This window comes from Homo sapiens, chromosome 12 (genome assembly GCF_000001405.40).
Source record: "Homo sapiens chromosome 12, GRCh38.p14 Primary Assembly".
Classification (NCBI taxonomy): Eukaryota; Metazoa; Chordata; class Mammalia; order Primates; family Hominidae; genus Homo; species Homo sapiens.
The window spans coordinates 71,686,072-71,706,828 of NC_000012.12; the positions used below are offsets into that span (position 1 = coordinate 71,686,072).

General features: G+C 39.8%; 1 protein-coding gene across 1 annotated transcript, besides 4 other annotated features; it reads left to right on the forward strand.

Annotated features, from left to right (window-relative positions):
- Positions 1-10: 10 nt before the first annotated feature.
- On the forward strand, positions 11-18,976 carry TMEM19 (transmembrane protein 19). Its single transcript, NM_018279.4, has 6 exons — positions 11-739; positions 3,520-3,633; positions 10,365-10,502; positions 11,209-11,463; positions 12,829-13,038; positions 14,761-18,976. Exons 1-6 carry the CDS (start codon positions 610-612, stop codon positions 14,922-14,924), a joined length of 1,011 nt encoding a protein of 336 aa, NP_060749.2. The 5' UTR covers positions 11-609; the 3' UTR covers positions 14,925-18,976.
- Positions 283-352: a silencer, noted in NCBI's record as "silent region_4658". NCBI's record gives its function as "represses an Ori minimal core promoter by ATAC-STARR-seq in GM12878 lymphoblastoid cells {active_cell/tissue: GM12878}" and the evidence as "EXISTENCE:reporter gene assay evidence [ECO:0000049][PMID:35858748]".
- Positions 343-558: a silencer, noted in NCBI's record as "fragment chr12:72080194-72080409 (GRCh37/hg19 assembly coordinates)". NCBI's record gives its function as "represses an EF-1alpha promoter that drives an FKBP-Casp9 reporter gene in an ReSE screen in K562 erythroleukemia cells {active_cell/tissue: K562}" and the evidence as "EXISTENCE:reporter gene assay evidence [ECO:0000049][PMID:32094911]".
- Positions 1,907-1,976: an enhancer, noted in NCBI's record as "active region_6661". NCBI's record gives its function as "activates an Ori minimal core promoter by ATAC-STARR-seq in GM12878 lymphoblastoid cells {active_cell/tissue: GM12878}" and the evidence as "EXISTENCE:reporter gene assay evidence [ECO:0000049][PMID:35858748]".
- Positions 8,460-8,559: an enhancer, noted in NCBI's record as "active region_6662". NCBI's record gives its function as "activates an Ori minimal core promoter by ATAC-STARR-seq in GM12878 lymphoblastoid cells {active_cell/tissue: GM12878}" and the evidence as "EXISTENCE:reporter gene assay evidence [ECO:0000049][PMID:35858748]".
- Positions 18,977-20,757: the final 1,781 nt, after the last annotated feature.

The window sequence follows — 20,757 nt, forward strand, 5'->3', positions numbered from 1 at the left end:
GCTGCGGCGCATGCCCACAGCGGGCGAGGCGCTAGAGGCGGGGGCGCCGGGAGGCGCGGGCTTTGCTCCTGGGGTCTCGGCCTTGGCCGGCTGGACCTGACCCTAGGGCGGCTTGCGCAGCTGTCGGGACGTGACTGCGTTCAGCCGCGTCGGGCGTGCTTCCCAGACTTGCCCAAGTTCGGGTGCCCTAGCTGCCCCTTTGCAGCCGCTGGCCTACCCGGCCCGCGGGTGAGAAGGTTGCGACGGGAGGTGGGTGGAACTCGCCAGCGCCGGGACCGCGGATTGGCTGCCTCGGCTTTCTCTTTTCCCCGTGGGCTCCGGCGTGAGGCGCTGAAGCGGCCGGCAGCCGGCGACCGGCCCTCACCGTCCGCCGGGTTGCGCTCTGCTTTTGCGGTGAGGCGTTGACCACGCCCATATGAATTGGAGCTCTCCGCCAGTAGGAGTTTCCGGAAGGAGTTTGAATTTTTGTGATTTTTATGCTTGTTTGGTCGGTGGAATATGTTGGGATTTATGTTTGCCTCTGAACAAGTGTCTTGCTCACATCGTAAATGACTTTCTCTCCGAAACGCTAAATATTCTTTCCCGCAGGAGCTCATATCCTTATTTTCCATGACAGATCTTAACGACAATATATGCAAAAGATATATAAAGATGATAACTAATATAGTTATACTGAGCCTGATCATTTGCATTTCGTTAGCTTTCTGGATTATATCAATGACTGCAAGCACCTATTATGGTAAGTCTGAGTGTTCTAAGTTGTTTCTCTGTAATCTAGTCAGAGGAAATTAAAACCATACCATTGTGAAATCCAAAACTCATATCCTCTGAATGGTTATGAATGGTTGTGTTTACTTAACTTCCATAGCCTGATTTAACTTACTAACATGATAGTATAAACAATGCCTTTAATAAATGCTTGTTGTGATAATTCGAGTTATACCTATTTCTTTTTTTTTTTAATTTTTATTTTGTATAAGATAGGGGTCCCTCTGTGTTGCTAGGCTGGTCTCAAACCCCTAGGCTCAAGTGATCCTCCCACCTGTGTCTCCCAAAGTGCTGGCAATACAGGCCACCACTTCTGGACTAGTTACACCTATTTCAAAATGTCTTTATATTTTATGTAACTATTCCATCTGTCTTGGTAAAAGATAAGTGAGGCGAATATAGCTTTGTAAAGCAATTACAGTGATGCTTTTAATTTTGAATAAGAATATTAGTAATGGGCCAGGCGCGGTGGCTCACGCCTGTTATCCCAGCACTTTGGGAGGCCGAGGCGGGCAAATAACCTGAGGTCGGGAGTTCAAGACCAGCCTGGCCAACACGGTGAAACCCCAGCTCTACTAAAACTAGAAAAAAGCTGTAATCCCAGCTACTTGGGAGATGGAGGCAGGAGAATCACTTGAACCCTGGAGGCGGAGGTTGCAGTGAACCAAGATTGAGCCACTGCACTCCAGCCTGGGCCACAGAGCGAGAATCCGTCTCAAAAAAAAAAAAGTAGTAATGTAGTTTATCAGTTTCACATGTTCTGTAAAAATAATAAGAATTAAAAACGGTATACTATTTACATTTGGAGAGCTGAAGGACTTATCTGCCATTTGGTTGCTTCAAAAGAATAGACTCCTTTTAAAGCCTAAAGCTACATTGCTTAAATATAAGGTACTCTGGACTCAGATCTTTAAAGTTTTAAAGGTGCTTTAGAGCATAAGCCTCCATTTACACAAACTTCCTTCTCCTATGAAAACAAAATACTGGTCAGTTTGCAACAAAGGAAAAATGAAAAGGAGAATGAGAATGCTTGTATCGTAAGGGATTGCCATTTCAGACTGTAGGCTTTTTGCAAAGAGACATGTGAATAGTTGGAAAGGGTTCTCCAGGCTACAGAAGCTCTCAGTGCAGTTCGTTCATAATGATTCACAGTGGGGCATCAGAGTTTTAGGGGAGGGGTGTAAGAAAAGATTCTTGTTAGTGACAGTATTTACTATGACTTGAACTAAATGGAATAAATCAGGATTTGTAAACTGAAATATCCCTCTGGGGCCAGTCACCTAATGCAAATGAATCTGTGTACGTTTTTGTGTATTAGACCTGTGGTAATAGTTTTCATTTCCAGAAATAGGATATTTCTCATCTTTTGTTGAATGCTTGGGCCCTCTTTGTCTTTCATTTCCCCTTTATTTTTCTGAGACGGAGTTTCGCTCTTTTTGCCCAGGCTGGAGTACAGTGGCACGATCTCAGCTCACTGCAACCTCTGCCTTCTGGTTTCTCCTGCCTCAGCCTCCCAAGTAGCTGGGATTACAGGTGCCTGCCACCATGCCTGGCTAATTTTTGTATTTGTAGTAGAGACAGGGTTTCATCATGTTGGCCAGGCTGGGTCTCGAACTCCTGACCTCAGGATCCTCCTGCCTTGGCCTCCCAAAGTGCTGGGATTACAGGCATGAGCCACTGCGCCCGGCCCATTTTCTCATTTTTGATAGAAACATAGATACAAGCAGTGGTTCACAGTTTTCTTTACCATAAGGAAATCACTTTGCCTTGGCGTTTAGGAGCCTATCAGGAGGGGTGGGAACTTTAAATGGGAAAGCCACGGCCTGTTTAAAGGAGGGCACCTCTCTTTACCTTAAGTCAATTCTGCCATGTTGGCCAGAACTTCCCAATTTTAAAACAGAAGCCAAGAATCTGGATTTTTATATGATATCTCCTAATCTTTAAATATTGACTAAAATTATTTGAAAACACTCTGCTAGCCAAACATCTGTGAGCTGGATGCAGCCTCTGGAATAATCAATTTCTAACCATTGAATGAGGTGTCTGTCCTCTGACAGGCAGAGAGGAGTAAGATCCTGTTACAAAAAGAGTTCGTTCTAGGTAGTCCTTGAAATTTAATACGTGCCCCCTTTAAAAAAAATGAACCAGAGGTTCATTTTAAATATCTAGATATCCATTATTATCATAAATAGCAGTAAAAGGTTTTCAAAACTTGGACATAACCTATTTGGCCATTCTCCAGTAAGACTGTTTCTCCGAAAATATGCATGCATGTCTCAACATAAATACAGTCATGCTCTGCCTAACAATGTTTTCGTCAATGACAGACCACACATACAACATGTTCCCATAAGATTATAATACCATATTTTTACTCTACTTTTTCTATGTTTAGATACACAAATACGTTATAATTGCCTGTAGTATTCAGTACAGTAACATGCTTTACAGGTTTGTAGCCTAGGACCAATAGGCTATAGCATATAGCTTAAGTGTGTAGTAGGCTCTACCATCTAGGTGTGTGTAAGTACAGTCTGACGTTTGCATAACCATGAAATCACCTAAGGATGCATTTCTCAGAACATATCCCTATCTTTAAGTGATGCATGACTATATATTTCTTTGGTGACTTCATCTTGGTGTTTGTACTTATGACAGTATTTTAGTCTAAAAGCAGTAACGGAAGTTTACTGCCAAAACTAACCTGTGCAAACTTCACACAATTTGTGCTCCACCTTTATAATTTTTCAGGTAACTTACGACCTATTTCTCCGTGGCGTTGGCTGTTTTCTGTTGTTGTTCCTGTTCTGATCGTCTCTAATGGCCTTAAAAAGAAAAGTCTAGATCACAGTGGGGCTCTAGGAGGTATGTTTTTATTTTGAATGTTTACAGTAACTACTAAGTGCTTGCTTATATAATTTAAATTTATGTTTTCTAAATTCTGAATATATGAGACTGACTACAAATCACAGTTATATATTTTAGACAATGATAAAGTTACATCTTGCTCAGCATTCCTATTGTCAAAATTTCAGAAACTAACGTACACTTTTAGTGTAACATACAAATTAAACTCTGTGATTGATACAAAGTAGATTAATAGGATAGATGAACCTTGACTATTCTGCTCCTTTAGTTTGATTAGTCTTCTACCAGCAGAAACACTGGAGCACTCCTCCTATATGTAAAATAGAGCATTTGGAGAGAATAACTTTTGGAAATTGCTGTTAGTAATCTCAAAACAGAGCAGTCCAAACTTAGTGTTCTGGATTAATTTTCCAAAACTGAGTTGAGAACAGGATATGCATTCATTCTTTTAGCAATTTTTTTTTTCCCGAGACAGTCTTGCTCTGTTGCCCAGGCTGGAGTGCAGTGGCATGATCGGCTCACTGCAACCTCCTCCTCCTGGATTCAAGCGATTCTTGTGCCTCAGCCTCTGAGTAGAGACTACAGGTGTGTGCCACCATGCCCAGCTAATTTTTTCTGGTATTTTTATTAGAGACAGGGTTTCGCCATGTTGACCAGGCCGGTCTCGAGCTCCTGGTCTCAAGTGATCACCTGCCTGGGCCTCCCAAAGTGCTGGGATTACAGGTATGAGCCACCATGCCTGACCCCTCTTTTAGCAAATTTTTATTGAACACTTACTGGTATGTACTACTGTTCTAAAAACTTGGGATAGATCTGTAAACAAAAAGAACGTGGTGTCAGTTCTCATGGAACTTATATTCTTTAGGGCAGATAGATAATAAATAAAATATATAAAACTGTTCAGGTAATGATGAAGTTTATGAGAAAAATGAAAAGATAATTGTAAAGTGTGTATGTTGGAAGATGTAGTGCATTCTTCTGTAAATGGTGTCAGGTGCTTTTCTCTACGGAGGTCATTTTGCACTGGTATCTGAAGAAGCTAGCAATGAGATCTGACAGAATCATGTTCCAGGCTGACAGAATAACAAGTGCAAAAGTCCAGATATTTTAGAGGCTTATTTGAGAGTAAGAATAATAGGGCTCATTTGACTAGAAAATAGTAACGATAGGAAAAGAAGTGAGAGATAAAATTGAATAAACTCTAGCAATGTGCTCTCGTGGTCCTATGGTTTTGTCAATTTTGCAAAGGTCAAAACTGTTGTACTCTTTTTCTTAAAGAGGGAACCCCAAATTATATAAACTTTGGGCTCCACAAGGCCTGGATCTCCCCCTTATTTCATTTTTAGGGCATAGAGAGAATTAAATGCGATAATTTAAAGTCCTTACCTCATTGCCTGGACACATAGCCAACATTTATTCAGTGCTTGTAACTATTATTATTAGGCAGAGTTCTTCAAAATCATGCCAATTCTCTTCATAATTAAGAAATACTGTTTAAGTTATATTGTGAGATTTCTTTTCCTTTTGTGGGGTAATTGAGAATTAAAGTTAACTAGACATACTGATATTTTTATATGAATTTTATTTTACCATATAATCAATAAGTATTAGGAGTGGTTATATTTTATCTATTTAACAAATGCTTATGTCACACTTTCTATGTACCAGGCACTGCTGTTAGCACTTTGGTAGTATTAAATCATTTATAACATAATTTGAACAATCTCTGCTTAAATATAATAACATGGACTTATGCTTTGCTAAAAAAAGTTCTTTCTGGGCTGGTCGCAGTGGCTCACACCTGTAATCCCAGCACTTTGGGAAGCCAAGGCAGAAGGATCACTCGAGTCCAGGAGTTTGAGACCAGCCTGGACAGCATAATGAGACTTCACCTCTACAAAAAAAAAAAAAAAAAAAAAAAAAAAAAAAAATTAGCCTGGCGTGGTAGTGCACACCTGTAGTCCCAACTACACAGGAGGCTGATCGTGCCACTTCAGTCAGCTTGGGCAACAGAGTGATACCCTGTGTCAAAAAGAAAAAAAAAAAAAGCTCTTAGATATCATTGCCTTGGAATTTATTATTCTTATAGAAAAAAAGGTCAAGTCCTTCTTGAAATTCTGTCTTCCTTGGGCTTCTGTGCTGTATATTGTCCTGCTTCTCTGACTTTTACGATCTCTACTGTTGTTTCTTTCCTGCTGCTAGAAGGGCTGCCTTGTAGCCCTTGGACATCTGCTCCTCTCCTATGTTGATTAGAATTAAAAGATATGAAACCTAACACTGCCACCTGTTACCAGTGCAAACTTGGGCATGCTGCCTAACTCCTAGGAGACTCACTTTCTTAATCTCTTATGAAATACCTCCAATAGTAATATCTTATGGACTTATTGGTAAATCTCAAACAAGATATTATATGAGGCAACACATCTTTGTAAACTATACAAAAATGTTCATTGTTAGTGATTATGTAGTTTCAACCATATTTTTATACGTGAATGACTATTAAATTGGCATTGCCACAAACATTTCTTTCTTTCTCCGTACCTCTGCTCACATTACTTCTCCCCCTCAACCTCTCTCCTACCTCATTATATATGCTGATTATTATTATTATCATCTGCATTAATAGAGAAGTATATAGAGAGGTTTGAAGGATGAAGAGACAGTTCTGGGCAGAAAACAATGAAAACTGCAGAAAACTGAAACTAACACTTGCAGAATAAAATTAAATGAAGTATTCTCACTTAAAAAGTTTCTGGTTCTAGGCTTCTTAGTGCTTAATGAAGTATTCTTATTGAATAGGATTCAAATCTCATGAAGTCATTTATTTGCTGCCAGCCCTTAGAGTTGGAAATGATCAAATGTAGTAGTAGATGGAAGCATGTCCTTAACTTACTTTCAGTAGTAACTGATAGTTCTAAAGTCAGGTAGCAAAAATATAATATGCATGTTTCTAAAAATTATCCTAGTGCTATAACATGCCACTTGATCTGCTTGAGCATAAAGGAAATCTGCTAGATTATAAACTCCTTGAGGACAAAGAGTATCTTATGCTTCTGTGTCCCATGTTTCTTTGAATAGTGCTAGATACATAATAGATGATTAGGAATAGATGTAGTCTGATTTTTAAAAACCTTTGCTTTTTTCCTAATTATTTCATTCTATGAACTGTTTATCTTTTCTTCTTTTTTGTAAAAAAAAAAATTATGGCCAGGTATGGTGGCTCACACCTGTAATCCCAAAACTTAGGGAGGCCAAAGCAGGCAGATCACTTGAGCCCAGGAGTTTGAGACCAGCCTAGGCAACGTGGTGAAACCTCGTCTCTACTAAAAATACAAATATTAGCCAGGCATGGTGACAGGTGCCTGTAATCCCAGGTACTTGGGAGGCTGAGGCAGGAGAACCGCTTGAACCCAGGAGGCAGAGGCTGCAGTGAGCTGAGATCATGCTGCTGCACTCAAGCCTGGGTGACAGAGCGAGACCCTGTCCCAAAAAAAAAATTTTTTTTTAGAGGCAGGGTCTCGCTCTATCACCCAGGCTGTAGTGCAGTGATGCAACCATAGCTTAGTGCAGCCTTGAATTCCTGGGCTCAAGCAGTTCGCCTGCCTCAGCTTCCTGGGTAGTAGCGACTACAGGCACGCGCCGCCACACCCAGCTTTTCTTACTGTTTGGAACTTTTTGTTTCCTTAAGGATAAAAAAAAATCTAATGCTGATTTAAAGTATATCATAGTAGTTGGGAATATTATCCTAGAGTATGACTGCAAGTCACTTAAACTCTCAGTGTTGTACTTGTCCTGTCTATAAAATGTGAAGGAATAATGGTATCTATAGCAATGAATTATCATGAAGTGTTATCCATGTAAAATGCTTAGCACAGTACTTGGCATACAAATATTTTATAGATGTTAGTTATTATTACTGTTTTCCTTCCACTACTGCTATTCACAGTGATATAGTTTGACCATGTCTCCACACAAATCTCATCTTGAATTGTAGCTCCCATAATTCCCACATGTCAAGGGAGGGACCTGGTAGGAGGTAATTGAATCATGGGACAGGTCTTTCCCGTGCTGTTCTCGTGATAGTGAATAAGTCTCACGAGAGCTGATGGTTTTGTAAAGGGGAGTTCACCTACACAAGCCCCCTTGCCTGCCGCTATGTAAGATGTGACTTTGCTCCTCATTTGCCTTTGGCCATGATTGTGAGGCCTCCCCAGCCATGTGGAACTGTGAGCCAGTTGAACCTCTTTTCTTTATAAATTACCCAGTTTCAGGTTTGTTTTTATTAGCAGCGTGACAGCAGACTAATACACACAGTTATAAGAAATTTTACTTTGCTACATCATGACTTTAGTGTGTCTAGGATTTAGAAGTAAGAGTTACAGAACTTCCTCAGGATCTGGGTATTTAGAACCATTCATGACAGAAACATATACCTCAGTGTTAAGAGGATTAGGCAGGGGTTCAGTCACAGTCAGTCTCTAAGCTGCACACTGAAGTGGAGGGCTCTGGTCTCTTGGAGAGAGAGCGAGCATTGCCAGAATAAGGAGAGGGTCACATGAGGGGGATTTGTGGCAAAGTGTTTGTGGAAGAGCACAGCAAGAGGGGGTGTTGTCAGGAAAGGCCACTGGTGGTGCTCTGTGTGGTTTCACAAGGGTGGCCTGACCTCTTTTTGGTCACTATACTTTGGGTCTGGTTTCAGTCTTTCTGAAGTAGAAGCCTCACTCTGTCATGTACCCAGAGTTGATTAGAGCCTAGAAAACTGGTTGAGTGTTGCTCATTGTCATAAAGGATTGCTATATGAGCCAGAATGCCACTTCATTAATCAGATAGAAGAACTACCAGGCAGAAGAACACAAACATCACTGTTCAGGCATGCCCTATTCTTGTAGTCAGGCCACTTGAGAAGTCAGATTATAATTAGAAGGCTGCTTTGGTGAGTACAAAGTCTGAGAAACAGTTATGCAAATCCACAAATCAAAGGTTCCCCTCCCTTGGACATGGTTCAAGAAGTCTGCCAACCTCTGGTTCTTTTGGCCTTCACTTTCTACATTTTGGGCTAGCCAAGTAAATTATTATAGAATATGTATGAAGCAATAGGTGAGCTTTGAGTTTATTAAATTACTATGAAATTCCAGTCCTGCCTTTCTCTTTTATGCCTCCTGGAGATTACCCAGGTCACCCTGGTTGGAATTTGGGGTATAACTCTACTCCCATTGTCAGAAATTTGTAGACAGTGTCATTTTACTCCCCCAATGCTATCTGTTAGGTACAGAATTTACCTGTTTTAGGCTCACAAGGCAACCATAGTCCTCAAGTCTTCAAATTATTTGGGAGTGCCCTATTGTCATATATATGAACCCCTTATCAATGATATTTAGAGATCTGCAGGATGGAGAGGTAGAAAAGGTATGAACAGGAGATAGCAGTTACTAATCTAAAATGTAGACATAGGTAGGAGTTGCCAAAAGTTCCAAGCGATCTTTACACTGCATGAAAGAAACCATTCCCTCAAAGCTTGTCTTGTTCATTTCCTCAATCTGAAGCTGTCACCAACATGAACATTAATTGCTTCATGTGGTATTTTAAGGTGGCTGAAGTAAAAAGGATATAGATGCCATTTGTAACATCTCAGTGTAGGTTGTGTAGGGCTCTTCTACCTTGGGTTTGTTTAGAGACGGTGGAACAAATTGTTAACAGTGAATATTCATGAAGAGGAGGAGGGGAGACACTTTGACTTTCAGTTTGTATACTTCCATGTGTTTTGACTTTCCCCTTCAGTAGTTGCATACAACTTTTGTAATGTTTTAAAAATCAGTTGAAAAAACTTAAAGGTTGGATAACAATATTGTAATATTTATCATTATTATTGTTGAGCTTTTGCCACTGGAACTGTTGCTGTTATTAGTATCCATGATATTAGGTAACACTTATTAAGGACCTCTTACATCCTGGATAATATAATAAGCATATTACAAAAATTATCCCTGACTTTTTACAGCAAGCCGGTAAAGTCAGAATTCTGATTATTCTCATTTCACCAATGCAAAATTGAGACTTAAGGAGGTTAGGTAACTTATCCTAATCTTGAAGAGGTAAGTGAAGGAGCCACAGTTTGAACTCTAGACTGTTCAACTCCAGAGCTGAAGCACTTTGTTATTATTAATACTTTATATCAAGTTACCCTGTTTCTGTACTCTCGATTAAAAGGTACCAAAGTTAAATACCAGTAATTGAGTATCTCTGGAAGGGTCAATGAGTAACTATCTCATTGGTTATGATATCTGAACTTTGAGCTAAGCAATGGAAAGGGTTATTATAGAAAAAGAAGGCCAGGTGCTGTGGCTCACTCCTGCAATCCCAGCACTTTAGGAGGCCAATGCTGGGCAGATTGCTTGAGCCCAGGAGTTTGAGACCAGCCTGGGCAATATAGTGAGACCCCATCTCTATTTCTAATTTTTTTAAATTAAGATAATTTTAAAAATATTATCTAAAATATTATCTTACATTCATATGGCATTGCTTGAAAGGAGATTAAAATATGGTAAAAAATGTGTACTCAAAATGGCATTCAGTTTACTGCTTGCTAAGAATTTAATTGGTAAAATGCAAATTGCTAGAAATGTACATTTCAGGTTATAATATAAAAATAATGGAAAAAATCCATTCTTTTTTCACAGCATTGATGTATGAATTGAATATAATTCTGTGTTTATATATGTTTCTTTCAGGGCTAGTCGTTGGATTTATCCTAACCATTGCAAATTTCAGCTTTTTTACCTCTTTGCTGATGTTTTTCTTGTCTTCTTCGAAACTCACTAAATGGAAGGGAGAAGTGAAGAAGCGTCTAGATTCAGAATATAAGGAAGGTAAAATTATGTTTGATATCATTCAAAATAGTAAACTTCATTTAATCCTAACATAAGGTTTTTTTTTGTTTTTGTTTTTGTTTTTTTTTTTGAGACGGAGTCTTGCTCTGTTGCCCAGGCTGGAGTGCACTGGCGCAATCTCGGCTCGCTGTAAGCTCCGCCTCCCGGGTTCACACCATTCTCCTGGCTCAGCTTCCTGAGTAGCTGGGACTACAGGCGCCTGCAACCATGCCTGGCTAATTTTTTTGTATTTTTAGTAGAGACGGGGTTTCACCGTATTAGCCAGGATGGTCGCAATCTCCTGACCTCGTGATCCGCCTGCCTCGGCCTCCCAAAGTGCTGGGATTACAAGCGTGAGCCACTGCGCCCAGCCAACATAAGCTTTTAATCAGAATGTTGTTTAAACTGTCAAAACACATCAATTTTATATGAGAATTCCTTTAGTAGCCAAATTGAGTTTATAATTTATTTCACAACAATGGGAAATGACAGCAGAATTTTAGAAGCACTAGAGTCTATCATGATTTTTCCAGATTTGTTAATAACAGTATAAAATCTGGGCAAATGTACCATAACACTTTTACTGTTTTTAAATTTTTTTGTTGTTTTTCTTTTCTTAAACTTTAAAACATAAACACCTATAACTGCATGGTTTTTCTTCTAAGGAGGAATCATTTGTTTGTCCTTTTCATCTGTTTGTTTCCAGGTGGGCAAAGGAATTGGGTTCAGGTGTTCTGTAATGGAGCTGTACCCACAGAACTGGCCCTGCTGTACATGATAGAAAATGGCCCCGGGGAAATCCCAGTCGATTTTTCCAAGCAGTACTCCGCTTCCTGGATGTGTTTGTCTCTCTTGGCTGCACTGGCCTGCTCTGCTGGAGACACATGGGCTTCAGAAGTTGGCCCAGTTCTGAGTAAAAGTTCTCCAAGACTGATAACAACCTGGGAGAAAGTTCCAGTTGGTGAGTTTTTTCTTCTTTTTGACCCATTGGTAGACACAGTTGGTGAGTCTTGATTTGAGATTCTTTAAAAAAACCAAAAAACCTCTTGATGTAATGTATTTTAGAGCCTTTTAAGAACTTTATTTAGTCTCTTTAAATAATAATTGGAAAATTTCTGTCGACTATTAAATTGGTAATAATAAATAATATTTGCAGGAAATGTTAGCAAGACCTAGATAAGCAATACAGGAACATAGAGATTGATTTGCAAACATATCAGTAGGGAAGGAAAAGAGAGGGAACAATAGAATATTTATTGAGGGCCTGTTAGGATATCAGTGCTTTAAGATATATCTCAATTCTCCATTATCAACATTATCAACAACTACATAGGTTGAGCATCTCAAATCTGAAAATCCAAAATCCAAAATGCTCCAAAATCTCAAACTTTTTGAACACTGACATGATGCTCACAGGAAATGTTCATTGGAACATTTCAGATTTACGATTTTCAGATTCGGGATGTTCAACTGTTAAGTCTATATAATGCAAATATTCCAAACTCTGAAAAAATTTGAAATCCAAAACACTTCTGGTCTCAAGCAATTCAAGTAAAGAGAATACTCAACCTATACTGCTTCTTTTTGTCCTCTGATGCTTCTCTTCCTCTTCGTCCCCTTCTTTTCTTTCTACCCATCCTATCCCCCATCATCACCTTCTCCTCCTTTTTTTTCTCCTCTTCTTCATCATCATTGTAACAGCTAGCATATTTTAGATACCTACTACAGAGCACTATTCTAACTGCTTTACACGGATTGCCACTTAGTACTCCTAATAATCATATAAATTGGTTCTTTTATTATTTATATCTTATAAAGAAACTAAAGCACAAAGAAGTTAGATAAATTAACTACAGTCACATGGCTTAAGAGTAGCAGAATTGGGCCTGGCAAGGTGGCTCATGCCTGTCATCCCAACTACTAGAGAGGCTGAGATGGGAGGATCACTTGAGCCTGGAGTTGGAGGCTGCAGTAGGCTATGATCACACCATTGTACTCTAGCCTGGTTGATAGAGCAAAACCTTGTCTCTGAAAAGAGAGAGAGAGAGAGAGAGAGAGAGAGAGAGAGAGAGAGAGAGAGAGAGAGAAGCAGAACCAAGATTGAAACCAGGCAGTCTGGCTTCATTGAACCATTCTGCTTCATTGCTTAAAATGTCAAGAGTTACCGAGGAGAAAATACTGTTTTCTAAAAAGCTACAGTCTTTAGATTGCATTAAAGAGAATGCTTTCTTTAAATTAGTCTTGATTAGATAGGTACCTTGCTGTCCTTGCCTTTATGTGTTTGCTGATTATTAACCGGATGATTTTCTGCATGTTTCTTCTTCAGGTACCAATGGAGGAGTTACAGTGGTGGGCCTTGTCTCCAGTCTCCTTGGTGGTACCTTTGTGGGCATTGCATACTTCCTCACACAGCTGATTTTTGTGAATGATTTAGACATTTCTGCCCCGCAGTGGCCAATTATTGCATTTGGTGGTTTAGCTGGATTACTAGGATCAATTGTGGACTCATACTTAGGGGCTACAATGCAGTATACTGGTAAGAACATTCCTTCATTCTTGCAACTTATTGGTATGTTAAAGAAATAGGGAAAAGAAAGAAAAAAATGTTAACAATGAAAACAAATCCAAAGACACAGGGTGTTGAGGGACTAGAAATGATAGGGCAAAGTCTCTTTCACAATTTTGGTTTTCTTATTCTTTTGTATTAAATTAATTGAAAGAGAATTAGTCCCGCGCAGCAATGATTAGAAGCCATGTGGGGAAGATACAATAGTGCAGAGAACAGACGTTTTTGTGTGAGCCATTACCTAATCCCAGAAAAGCAAGACGTTTGGGATCAGATCATTTTAATACAATTCCTTCCATTCATTTTCCTATTCCATTTGAGGAGTAATTGTACAAATCTGACTATACACACGACCTACTTTCTTACTGTGGTATCATGCTTGCTATTCTTGCCCCTGAGTTTTTTGCTTCATTAAGATATATGGTCGATGTCTGGGCACGGTGGCTCACATCTATAATCCCAGCACTTTGGGAGGCCAAGGGGGGCAGATCACTGGAGGTCAGGAGTTCGAGACTAGCCTGGCCAACATGGTGAAACCCCATCTCTACTAAAAATACAAAAATTATCTGGTGTAGTGGCGCCTGCCTATAATCCCAGCTACTTGGGAGGCTGAGGCAGGAGAATTGCATGAACCTGGGAGGCGGAGATTGCAGTGAGCCGAGATCATGCCACTGCACTATAGCCTGGGCAACAGAGCAAGACTCCATCTCAAAAAAAAAGAAAAAAGATATATGGTAGAGTGGTAGATATTTTTCTCAAAATTTTCTGTGCTTTGTTTCTAAGGCTCTCCCATCCTATCAGTGTACTCACATATTCTGTTAGGTGTGTATTTGCTCCACACTCTCATCAACCATGTTTCTCCTTTGATTGACATCAGGAAGAGGTTGGAAGGCTAGAGAAGGGTTCTCTCAGTATAGTCCTCCCAGCACTCTTCATGCCTCAGAAAATCTATGTGCCCTTCCTCCCCCTCTCCATCAGTCAGAATATTTGTTCTCCATTTTGTTAGTCTCATTTAGATTTTAAGGACGAAGCAATCTGATCTTAATTCTCACTAAAGGGTCAATAACTCTACACGCACACACAGACAGTAAACATGTTTTTTAAAGAGTGTAGGTTTTATTCTAAATTGGGTTCTAACTGGGGAAGTTTCTGATTGCATTGAGTGGGTTGAAAAGAAATGCATGCAGTAGGGGAGATTTTGTAAATCTTTGTGTGCCTCCTTTGTGCCAGCCCCATGCTCAACCCTGCGTTTACAGTACTGTGGCCACAGACATGATCCCTACTCCCAAGGACGTCATAGATCAGTCTTGGAGGGGAACCACTGGGAAGGCAGGCCCAACCTGCCAGTTTCATGCCCTCTCTGCTTTTCATGTTCTCTCTTCCACTTCTGAAGCAATTCCAGAGGTATTGACAGAAAATTACTGAGAACCCATTTATTCAAAGAGGCCATTTGTAATCAAGGGTCCCATGTCTCTCATCATATAAATGATCCATTAAAGTCATTTAGCAAGTCACTTAGAACCTTTCAAAGATTGTCTCCTTTGGAGGAAAAAGCCTATTTTGTTCTTTTTTTAAAATCAAGTACATGTACCCTAGAACTTAAAGTATAATAAAAAAAAAAAAAAAGAAAGAAAAGAAAAAAAATGAAGTCATTTGGGTTTTCTATCTCACTTGCTTCTTTTTCCATTCCAGGGTTGGATGAAAGCACTGGCATGGTGGTCAACAGCCCAACAAATAAGGCAAGGCACATAGCAGGGAAACCCATTCTTGATAACAACGCAGTGAATCTGTTTTCTTCTGTTCTTATTGCCCTCTTGCTCCCAACTGCTGCTTGGGGTTTTTGGCCCAGGGGGTGAACTTTATTTCATTTCCACAGGTTGAAACTGGTGAGTCCAGCTAAATTTGCAATTCCAACTTTCATCCTAAGAATAATAACTGTAATGGCAAAGCGGAAATGCCAGTTCCTCCTGTATTCCATTGAGATGGGATTTCACATTTTCCTCTCATCAACTCCCCTGTAATAGCTAGCGTCTTTCTAGTGAAAGAGAAGAATTCCTAGAACTTATGCATTTTTTTCCTGCTGAATGGAAGTCTTGAGCAATGAAGCTATATTGTCCCTACATATTACTATATATTGAACTGAAAGTTCTTACATAATCAATGTCAAGTTTTGTCTTATTTTGTTTTGTTTGTTTAAACCAGTGTAGGAAATAAAAGTGATGATATTTAAAATAGTTCTCAGTTGAAGCAGAGAAATGCCACTGTGCTAGTTGCCCAAATGTTGTATCTATTTTAAATAGTTTAAGCTGATGTGTATGGGAGCCTAAACAAGTGTAGTATCCTGAACTTCTCCCATTAATTGCTATTCACAATTGGGAAAAGTGTGGAGATTGGTTCCTAGTGAGTTTTGTGGCCTACTCCACATTTGTTCTTCCTTCCTCAGGGTTAGTGATGAAAAAAAGTAAATATCTTTTTCATATGTCCATTAGAATGTATGAAAAAAATCATTTTAACTAAAAGCAAAAGAATTTTATCTTATATCTAAAAAATATATAACTTACTATATGTTTCAGTTGCTCTCTGAACAAAAATTATCTTCAATTTAATATGTGGAATGTGTTTTCTAGCTTTCTTTGAATTATGTATGGCAACCTGGTTTAGCACTGGCATCCTGAACAGTTAAGAGTCACTGGGAAATTATTGTATTTCTTTATAAATTTACTGTCATATCAATTGCTGGAAAATGCTATGATTTTTCTATTATTACCTTCTAAGTTGTATTCTCTCTTACACTGTAGCCTCAACTAAGGCAATTCTGCTATGTTTGTTCTTCACTATGATTTACTGTGTGCCAAAGGAGTTTTGACAGGGTACAGAGTATTTTACTAAAAGTATTTTTAAATGTTTCTCATGTGATTTCTGTACCTTCTTCCTCCTGCCCCTTTTGCTTTTTTAAAGAAACTGGGGAAGGATTTATGAATACACCACCACCAGAGTGGATAATGCTTAGAATTCTTTATTGGTGGCCCTACTATGGTGATGATCTAGAACTGACTTACTTCAGGACAGAAGAAAAAACAATCACACCCTTAACCTTTAAGCCAGTTAGATCAGGGGGTTGCAACAATTGGGTTAAACTTTGGGTATACATTGGAAGCACCAGGGCATGTTTGCTTTTTTTGTTTATGTGTTTGTTTTTTGAGACAGAGTCTCACACTGTGGCCCAGGCTGGACTCCAGCACAGTGGCATGATCTCAGCTCCGCCTCCTGGGTTCACGTGATTCTCATGCCTCAGCCTCCCAAGTAGCTGGGATCACAGGCGTGCACCATCACGCCCGGCTAATTTTTGTATTTTCAGTAGAGACAGGGTTTCGCCACGTTGGCTAGGCTGGTCTCGAACTCCTGACCTCAAGTGATCTGCCCATCTCAGCCTCCCAAAGATCTATTACAAGATGTGAGCCACTGTGCCCAGCCACCAGGGCATGTTTTTAAAAAAGTACTGATGTCTGGGTTTCACACTGCAAAATTCTGATTTATCTGATCTAAGGTACAGCCTGGATATTGAGACTTTTTAAAGCTCTGACTGTACATTGAATCATCATGTAAGGAGTTTTTAAAACATTGTTGCCAGGGCCCCTTTCTAGACCAAGTTAGTCAGAATGTTGGACAATGAGGCCCATGCATGGGTATTTTTACAAAGCTCTCTGGGAGATTCTAATGCTTAACCAAATTGAGAAGCACTGAATAAGAATATCCTGGGCCGGGCGCACTGGCTCATGCCTGTAATCCCAGCATTTTGGAAGGCCGAGGCGGGTGGATCACTTGAGGTCAGGAGTTCGAGACCAGCCTGGCCAACATGGTGAAACACCGTCTCTACTAAAAATACAAAAAATTAGGTGTGGTGGTGCGTGCCTGTATTCCCAGCCACTCAGGAGGCTGAGGCAGGAGAATCGCTGGAACCTGGGATGTGGAGGTTGCAGTGAGCCAAGATTGCACCACTGTACTCCAGCCTGGGCAACAGAGGGAGACTCCATCTAGACTCCATCTCAAAAAAAAAAAAAAAAAAAAAAAAAAAAAAAAAAAAAAAGAATATTCTAAGCACTAGAACTACATAAGAATGTCCTAAAGCACTGTATCTAAGCACTTGAAAAGAATGGGACTTTTCGGTTTTAGGGAGATAACTATTAGCAACCACACAATATGTTATCTTTATGGATGAATAACTTCTGGTAATGACACAGTGTCTTACAGCTACATCATTTATAAAATCATGTGTCAGTTTTCACACAGCCTGCACATCGTTCTGACATGCCCTTTTTTTCCCTGGAGATTTATCCTCATGACATACAAGGGGACAAAAATATTTATTGGGACTGTCTTTGAATTTAGTAGAATCACTGTATCATTAACAGTTTGGGGAAGTACTGCTTTGCAGTCCTTTATTTGAAAACTTAGGTCTAGCTGTGTTTTGCATCAAAATTTTTGAGCTATTCAAAAACTAATAGGATCTGTGTAAAATATTTCACTCAAAACTACTAAAAAAAAGTCTGGGATGGCAGCTCATTATCAAATATACTCCTATTTTTGTGGTGATTTATGAACATCCCCACTAAGTATAACTAAAGATCATAAAGAGCCTCAGATCAAGTTTGGTCAGGTTTTGTCACCAAGCTTTGTAAATAAACTGGTTTTCATAGCTTTTTGGAGATGAGAATTGAGGATAAGAAATTGTGTCTCTGTCCTTTTTTTTTTTTTTTGTTAAGTCTTACATGTATTTTACTGTAACATCTTTTGAATTGGATATTTAACTAATTCAACATATTTTTCCTCTTTGCAGAATGGGCAGTTCATGTTAAAATCACTTTTCATGGAAAGAGCTCTATGTAACAGCATAATAAAACTGCCTACCTAGCAGCATAAAGGTGTACTGTTTCTTATCATACTGTTCCATGATAGAAGAGAGCAGATATATGTGGCTTGGGGCAGCTCCTGAAGAAGACTTGCAGGAGTAGCATGTTGAAAACTCATTAAATGGAGCCACCAAGAGACCAAAGAATTGATACAGCAGGTCATTCTATTATTAGCTTTTCTCATTACTTGAGTTATCTGTTTCTCACATATATCTTTCCTGTTTCTAGCTGCTGTACACATAGGATGCTGCCTGCAGAAATAGCAGCCCCGCCCCAATTAGATAAAGGACTAGTATAGAGAAAAAGCATGTGAAATGATGTTTTAAACTTTGCCGCATACCTGTGATATGAACAGCTGCTGCCTGTTAGGCACAGTGGGTATACTAGGGCCCAATCATCTGATCTTCCTGAAGTTTTATGTAATGTTCCCAGTGCTATCACAATGAGAATGATCTATACTAGCCACCAGATCTCAGGTGAATTGTGGTGTGCTTTAAAAATGAAAACACAGCCGGACGAGGTGGCTTATGCCTGTAATCCTAACACTTTGGGAGGCCGAGGCGGGCAGATCACGAGGTCAGGAGTTCAAGACCAGCCCGGCCAACACAGTGAAACCCCATCTCTTAGCCGGGCATGGTGGCGCATGCCTGTAGTCCCAGCTATTCAGGAGGCTGAGGCGTGAGAATCACTTGAACCCAGGAGGCAGAGGTTTCAGTAAGCAGAGAGCGTGCCACCGCACTCCAGCCTGGGTGACAGAGCAAGACTCCATCTTGAAAAAAAAAGGAAAACACAATTATGTGGCTTAATTATTTAATCTCCTTTATGGAGTATCTGTTTTTATAACTCCAAGTGGTTCTTGATATTTTAAAAATACTTAAGCATTCAATATGTATTCATTGAATTAAGTTGTTTGACTCTAATCATTGTTTCTTTTAAGAATGACTGGAAGGTGATAATCAGCACCATATTCCTGGAGGAAAATACAAAATGAAAAACCAGTTTGGCTACCTGAATTTCTGAGAACTGGAATGTTTCCAGCATTTTTCAATCATGCAAAACAATATTAATGCTTTTGAAACTAATGAGCCAGGAAATTATTGAAGAAGTGAAGGAGTGGCAGGGCGAGGCTTGAAATTATTTTCTCTGACAAGACTTCACTCTCCATTTATCATAACTGCCCTCTTCAAAAAAAAAATTTTTTTTTGTAGATCTAATCGTGAATCTAGACAAGATTTATTTTTATTTATTTTTTATTTTTTTGAGACAGGGTCTTACCCTATTGCCCAGGCTGGAGTGCGGTGGCACAGTCATAGCTTACTGCAGCTTCAACTTCCTCAGCTCAAGTCATCCTCCCGCCTCAGCCCCCAAGTAGCTGGGACTACAGACTTGCACTACTACACCCGGCTACTTTTTTTTTTTATTTTAATTTTTTGCAGAGATGAATCCAGACTATGTCCTATGTTGTCCATAATGGGTTTGAACTCCTGAGCGCAAGTGATCTTCTCACCTCAGCCTTCCAAAGTGTGAGATTACAGGTGCAAGCCACCACACCCAGCCAAAAATTTATTTTATAAATATGGCAACTCTTTTTTTAAGTTTGGATTTTTAAATTTTTATTAATATTAAATAATACACTGACTATTCCTTTTTAAAAATTACAACATTAGGCCAGATGTGGTAGCTCATGTTTATGATCCCAGCACTTTGGGAAGCCAAGGTGGGAGAATCACCTAAGGCCAGGAGTTTGAGACCAGCCTGGGCAGCACAGCAAGACCCCGTCTCTACAAAAAATAAAAAATTAGCCAAATGTGGTGTGTACACCTGTAGTCCCAGCCACTCAGGAAGCTGAGGTGGGAGGATTGTTTGAGCATGGGAGTTGGAGGCTACAGGGAGCCATAATTGCGCCACTGCACTCCAACCTGGGTGACAGAAACTCTGTCTCAATTTAAAAAGTAATAATAAAAATAAATAAAAATTACAACATTAGACATAAAGCTAAAATTTTTTTATTTTTTTTAGAAGGAATCTCGCTCTGTGGCCAGGCTGGAGTGCAGTGGTACAACCTCGGCTCACTGCAGCTTCCGCCTCCTGGGTTCAAGTGATTCCCCTGCCTCAGCTTCCTGAGTAGCTGGGACTACAGGCGTGCACCACCACGCCCAGTATTCTTTTGCCCCCACTATCTCCTCAGCAACTCTGAGCTCCTCCTATCTTCCCCAAGCTAATTACTGATATAAATTTGGGATATGGGCCAGGCACAGTGGCTTATGCCTATAATCCCAGCACTTTAGGTGGTTGAAGCAGGAGGATTGCATGAGGCCAGTAGTTTGAGACCAGCCTGGTCAACATAGTAAGACCCCCATCACTACAAAAAAATTTAAAATTAACCAGGTGTAGTGGTGTGTGCTTGTAGTCCCAGCTACCCAGGAGGCTAAGGCAAGAGGATTGCTTAAGCCCAGGAGTTCAAGGCAGCAGTGAACTATGATTGTACCCCTGTACTCCAATCTGGGCAGCAGAGTGAGACCCTATCTTTAAAAAATAAAAATAAATAAATTTGCAATATTTTGTACATAATTTGTTTAAGTGTGTTTTAACACATTTTAAACTCAATGAAATTGTTATAATTAGTATTGTCTTTTTGCTGCTTCAAGTCAGGTGCTTACATCCTAGAAAAATCTAGGAAGAAGGCCGGGCACGGTGGCTCATGCCTGTAATCCTAGCACTTTGGAAGTCCGGGGCAGGCAGATCACTTGAGGTCAAGAGTTCGAGACCAGTCTGGCCA